At 37.5% G+C, this 6,996-nt stretch overlaps 1 annotated feature.

Annotated features, from left to right (window-relative positions):
- Positions 1,758-2,067: an enhancer, noted in NCBI's record as "active region_13244". NCBI's record gives its function as "activates an Ori minimal core promoter by ATAC-STARR-seq in GM12878 lymphoblastoid cells {active_cell/tissue: GM12878}" and the evidence as "EXISTENCE:reporter gene assay evidence [ECO:0000049][PMID:35858748]".

Raw genomic sequence — 6,996 nt, 5'->3', positions numbered from 1 at the left:
AGTATTGAATATCACTGTGGTTTCAGTACAGCAGCACTGAAATGAGAAGTATGTCCTGAAACCACAGTGATATTTAAATTAATAACAATACTAAATGTATTGTTCTCCCACCAGGTTTTTCTGCTGGTCTTGAAGTTTGAAAACCAACAAGAATTTGTTTAATAAAGGTAAAATAGGTAACCTCACTAATAATATTAATAATCCTGGATCATTGTCATTCCCAATCATCTCCCTCTTGAGGAGTAGACCCTGAACCAGGTACCTTCTGAGAAGCCCTGTCTAGTGCTGGGAATCTGTGAATGATCTTTTTCTAGTCTACATGAATGATGTCACAGTGTGGCCTTTCTTGTTTCCTTGGTTCTTGGTGCATACATCCTTTGTCTGGTTATTGATTTCATAATCAGTCCATAAAAATGTTGATTAGTGTTTTGTTTATTTTCCATTTTCTTCCAATTTCTTTGGCCTTTAATATTACTTAGGAAATATTACTTCTCACTTTCAGGCCAATAATTTGTACCAGTATTATCATTATTAATGGTAATTAGCTATTATTAGTGATGATGATATAGCTTGTGGTCTACTCAGTGCTTCACAGTTATAATGATAGAGTTTCCTATCTCTCAAACGTGTCTAGGAAAGTGCATACATTCCCAAGTATAGAAAGAATGGGGAAAGAAAGAGGCATATGCTCTTTTTCTCTCAACTAGAGATGCACTGATTTTGTGCGTGTGTGTGTGTGTGTGTCTGCCCACACATGCACATGTGTACCCCCAAATTCCCCATGGACTAGATACTTTCATGATCCTTAATTTACGTAATAGAAAACTTAAGTCCAGAGAGGTTAGGTGACTTAGCTATGGTCACACAGCTAATAAGTGTCAGAGACAGGATCCAAAAGAAGTTTAATAGCTTCTTGCAATATTTTTAAAATATAGATTATTTTGCCTATTATTGTTGCTATTGGAATTACAGTAATACACATTTTTAGACCAGGAGGAATCATTTATACAATATAATTTGTCCTTGTAAGTTAAATTGATACAAGGGAGGTGATTAATGGGGGTTTATATGGATGAGGGAGCTCAGGGAGACAGGTTTGAGCTACTAACAGGAAGAACCCAGGGGATCCAATGGTTGTGAAGTAAGGAATATGGGAGAAGGAAAAAGTGACTATCTCTATTGACATGCAGCATATGCACTATTGCTCAATTGTAGACCAAACGTTTTGAAAATCCTGAATTCATAGGGACTTTTGCAGTCATGAAAATTGTAAAAAATGGTAAGATAAAGAGATACATTGGATGACTAAGGATTGTATCAGGAGGTATCTGTGTCACCACTGGTAGATACAAGTCTGGATATAGATGTAAAGACTCTAGCAGATAGCAAGAGGATATATGAATTTATAATTTTAGCCCTAGGAAGGAAATTAGAATTGTGTTGGCCTAGTCTACTTTATCCAATTTCCAGATGAATGTACAGGCGTAGTCATCTGTCCACAGTCACGCACACAAGAAACCAGTTGTCATGTCAGGCTGTTTAATGTTCTTTCCGCCTCCCCAGTCTTCTGCTTTGCCTCAGTGGAAATTCACCCTGAGATGCCCCCTGCTCCTGTCTTACTGTAGCTCTACAGCAACTGCCTACTCTGAAACAATTTTTTTTTCTCAGGCTCAGCAGATAGAAGTGTGGTGGCACACCTTCCCAGTGAACAGAGGAAGACAGATGCTGTTCAAGGAGGCATCTGCGAGTCCTTTCACTCGTTGGCACCTGGGCATCCACAGTGTGCACGTATATGCAAGCAGAGTCTCACTTTCCATTTTCAAACTCACAGCTCAGTTCTAATAATAGCCTGTGGTGAGACCTGTCCCCAGAGGCTGTGATTCTTCCATGCGGTGGAGCAGCCACTTCTAAAACCAGCCCTCTGTTCTGCTTTTCTTTAAGGGAAAGCTCTTGGGAAAATCCCACTTAGAGGCATGTTCAAGAACAGCAAGCGGCAGTGGTGTCTTCATCTCAGAACAGAACTAACCTCAGTCTAAGCTAAAAAAAAAAAAAAAAAAAAAAAGGGTATGAGCAGTGAGAAATGGTTCAGCTGAAGTTCTGGTTTGAGTGCCACAAACTTTCCACATAAATGAATTAAAATAATTCTGCTTTTGGATAGCCATACAGGATTACATCTTCTAACATTTGTTAAATATTTTGAAAAGTGACTGGACTGATAATAGTTGATTAGGACATAACTTTTGCCAGTTTTCTCATTTAAACTCACAGAAATAGCACAGGCTTCAGGGACTAATATGATATGTTGACAAAGCACCAGACTAAAAGTTCAAATGACTTAGCTGGGCACTGTGGTTCACACCTGTAATCCCAGCACTTTGGGAGGCAGAAGTGGGAGGCCTGCTTGAGCCCAGGAGTTCGAGACCAGTCTGGGCAACATAGGGAGACACCATCTTTACAAAAATTTTTAAAAATTAGCCTGGGAGGATTGCTTGAAGCCTGGGAATTTGAGGCCGCAGTGAGCCATGATGTGCCACTACACTCCAGCCTGTGTAACAGAGAAGGATCCTGTCTCAAAAAATAAATAAAAGCTCGGAAGACTTTTTCTTTGTAACCCTCACCACCCATCATAAGCAGCATACTTATACTGCTAGTTTGCTTTGTTACCTTATCAGTTATCTCTCTGGTCCGTTATCTCATTGGTAAAATAGGGATCATAACTGATAGAAATGGCTATATTTGATTATATACATTCTCTGTCATTGGTTTAAAGCATCTCATCTGAAAGTAGGTGTAATAATATTTCTATATTCTATGAATGAGAAAACTAAACCTGAGAAATTAGATGCCTTACCTAATGTCATGAAAGTAGTTAATGGTAGCAACAGAATTAGGGCCCAGGACTTCTAACGCTTGGTTCAGTGTATTTTTAAATACACCAATGATCACAGTTCAAACAGAAGCCTGCCACTGAACAGTTTTGTTGTACCACAGCTGGGGCCCTACTTCACGGGCTGCCAATAGCATTGAGTGAGCAAGTGGGCATGAAGTTGTCCAATGGAGGGATTAATGGTACCCAGGTTGAAATTAGCTCTAAAATCCTGATTGGAAGTCAATCTCCCTTACACTGAATTTGGCTTAGGAAATAGGGAAAAGAAAAGCTGTTTAGAGAAGTGTCTATAACCTCAACTTCTGTGGTCAAGCTGTGTGTGTTTAATTCCAGGGTGTGATATTTAGTAGCATGTGACCTTGAGACTATCATTTAGCGTTTATAGCTCTTCCTTCCTGAAGTGGGGTTAATAATAACACCTACCTTCTGAGGTAGCGATATTTTAAAATGGCAGTGCATATAAAAGGCTTAGCATGTTCACGGTTAAGCGCTCAGTGGACGCTTTCCCCCTCATTCTGTCCTTTTCCACTGCCCTTACCAGGGAGCTGGGACACTATCAGAAGTGACGCTGCTCATGTCACCACAACAGGAAATGCCTGAGCAATGTTAGATTTAAAGATAGGCCTCTATGCTATTTTCAAAGCATTGGTTGGTATTCCAGAATTAAAATTGTCCAAATGCCTATGAGATGGTAGGCTCTGCAACACAAGATGATTCTAAAAATGGACTTGTCACGTGTAATATTATGTGCTCAGTCTGTATCCATCTAGAACTTATAATTTCTGCTCTATACCCAAAGAAGGTATGTCTTGTAGCCATCTTTATTAACAGATAAAATCCATTAAAATATGTGTGTGTGTGTATATATATGTGATACGTATATATAAGTATGTATATGTGTGTGTATGTATGTATATATGTATATTCATATGTGCATCTATATACATATACACACAAACTACACACACACATATATATATGGTGTATGGTAGTTTCATAAAAATTAATCCTCTCAAATTTCAAGGTAAATGGAGATGTTCCTTTTTCTTAAATACATTACACATTGAGGTGTAGTCTTCTTTTCCTTTAATATTTTGCCACTCTGACTAGGAAACTTTCAGGTGAATTTTTCGTTCTTGGAACCCAGCCTGGGTGCAGGCTCCCAGGGAGCCCATCTGCACATCCTCGTCAAAGAGGACTTTGTGAATGACTAACCCCTTTGAATGGCCTGTAAGAAATTCAGTCTACTTGAGCCCTGCCCGGCCTCCCTTCTCTCGATTCCTGCTCCTTCATTAGGACACCTAAAATTCCAAAGAGAGGATCCCAACCTCTTCTTTTTGACATGGGAAAATTACCTACAAGTTTGATGGTACCACTAGTTGCACATATTACATAATACTGGACCATATCAGCATTAGAACATCAAAAAGCCCATATTACCTCTACCTCTGATTCCAGGTAAAATAAAATGAGCAAAAAATCACCTAATCTTAAGAAAATGAAACTTGAGGGTCAGTTGCCTTCAACTTTTCATTTACAAATTTAAAAAAATGAGAGAGAGAAAATTTGTCCAAAATTAGAATTTCACTCATTGGTTTTAATTTTTACTATTTTATTTTTGTATGTATTTCCCCACCAGAAAAAAAAATATTTTGCTTTCATAAAGAGAGAGAGAGAGAGAGAAAGAAAAGACAGAAGAAAAGCAACAGAATTTATCTTTATGAAAGCAAATTCTGTAGATATTTTGCCAAAAAGGACACATAGTGAAAATGGATTAGTTCATTTCAGTGGTTTGTGGAAAATATATATTTCCCGAAGCAGGTGGTGCTATCAAAGTGAATAGGGAGAAAAATGTCGTGTATGGAAAATATTTTTTTCAAAATGCTATTTTTCAAGTCAAAAGGGAAATGACACAAAATCCTACCACCGACTACGACAGCATAGTCTAATGGGTTCTGGCTATATTTTAGAGAAACATGCACCCACATACTAATAGAAACAAACATTTTCAAAAAGGATATGTATAGAAAACACTGGAGGTTTTACATTTGTTAGATGGGAGAAAAAAAGAAAGACAAACAGCCTGCCAGATAATGAGATGAGTGGGCAAGTAAGTCATTGGAAACTCACAAAATGCACTTTTTTGAGACATTTCTAGTATTGTTGATCTAAGCAGAGGAACATGGATGGAATAAGAAACCAATCATTGCCTCATGGACACTTTATTAAAATTCTAGAATTCAGCATGTTAAGAAAAGTGGCTCCCTATATTAATGTTTGAATTAATTTGTTTTTAGTGTGTTTCTATCCTACTGTATTTCTTATTTTCCAAAGTTTCTTTTTTTAATGTCTACAGTAGTAAAATTCAATTCAATAGGCATTTACTAAGCTCTGGTCATAGAATATGGTTTGAACTGTAGTGGATAGAAGAGAAGAAATGACGGGGAAATGGGCTAATTCATTAGAAAAATTAGCCTATTCCATTAAGTACTAAACTATATGGTGATCTGTAAGTGTCAGTCCTTGCCTTCCTAGAGACCATGTAATTCATCATTCACACTAGAATACTTTTTACATCTTTCTATTGAAATGTAATATACATACTGAAAAGTGCATATATCATAATTATACAACCTCATGCCTTTTACTCCTCTGTATTCATGGACTTATTGATCTATCTTTTGAATGGACTAACCCATCTTTGCTTCTGTTTGGTGGGGTGTTCTATCCAGCAACCACATGAAGGACACTGTTGTCCTGCTTTAATTTACAAAACTTCTGTTCGTAACAGACACCAGAACAGGGGCACTTAGAGAGAAAGGGCCAGAATCCATGCCCAGGTGTACCCTGATTTAAATTTCTGCTGTTCCGGAGTACCACACAGCCTTTGCTTGTGGGCCCACGCTTACTTAGGAGGCTGCTCCTCTTAGTGTATTGAAAGTTACTTCAAAATTTCAGCTCTTGTATGAAGCTCCTGCTGATGCTGGTACCACTTGAACACATTTCTACAGTTGTTTTGATTTTTTCCATGCGAAAAATTAAAAGTATTTAACCGTCTATGTTTGTTTTCACTATTGCTTTATAAGTAATTCCATAATGTAGTCCCTAGCACACAATAAGTACTCACTGATTGAAATCTGTACTTGAACTTGCCTTTGGGCTCCTCTGCAATCTTGGTAGGGCACAGAGGTTAAGTGGAAACTTTTTCAGTCTTGCTGGTAAGTTTACACAAGGACTTTCTTTATTCCTCATATGAGTAAAGCATTGATGTCTACTTAGTGTCTCAAGCTAGAAGACTCAGAAACTTCACAAATAAGTTCTCAAATCTCATGCCCTGTATACAATGAGTCACAATCTTGTTAGTTATGTATCTTAAACCTATATTAAAGATGTTTCTTCACCATCATTCCCAATACTTTCTTTTGGTTCAGTCCATAAGTCTTTTTCTGAAGCATTAAAGAAGTTACCTATGCCAGGTGCTCCCATACTTTAATCTGTTCTCCTTGCCATCATGTAGTCAGGGATGCCTTGTTAGAATGACAGTGAAATGGATCCATGGCCTTGCTTGAAACTTCTAATGGTGCTTCTTTGATAACAGTCCCATGATGTGAATCTCAAGGTTGTTCATGATACCTTACTCAGAATAAACATGTGTATGCCAAAATGCTTAGCAGATCACAATGAGAAAAGAGAGCTAGCTAAACTTACTGTTTAACATCTTTTTTGAGGGAGAAAAAATTTCAGATTAAATAGCTTTCTCTCCCAGTTTTTATTTAGCAAGCAGAAACAGACTCAATTTATGGCAATAAAAACACTAATTAAGCAGAGTATGGGAAAATGTCAATGAGAATTGACAGCTGTGACTTCACACTTAAAATATTAAGTAAAAGTTGTCTGCATTCCTTTTCCTTCTCCATCCTATCTTCTGTCTTGCTTCTTCAGCATTTGATTAAACACACTAGAACAAAACATCAATTCACTCTAGTTAGAGGGCAAGACATTGCGAATTAATGAAGTCAGACTTGTGGGCAGTTTGATTCAATTCCATTACTTTCAAGTACTTATGATAACTGGACCTTAATCTTTCTGACATAGAAATCATTAGTATT

Source organism: Homo sapiens, chromosome 18 (assembly GCF_000001405.40).
Source record: "Homo sapiens chromosome 18, GRCh38.p14 Primary Assembly".
NCBI classification, from domain to species: domain Eukaryota; kingdom Metazoa; phylum Chordata; class Mammalia; order Primates; family Hominidae; genus Homo; species Homo sapiens.
Note: the sequence above shows the minus strand (reverse complement) of the source record. Positions and strands in the feature narration are given on the sequence as shown.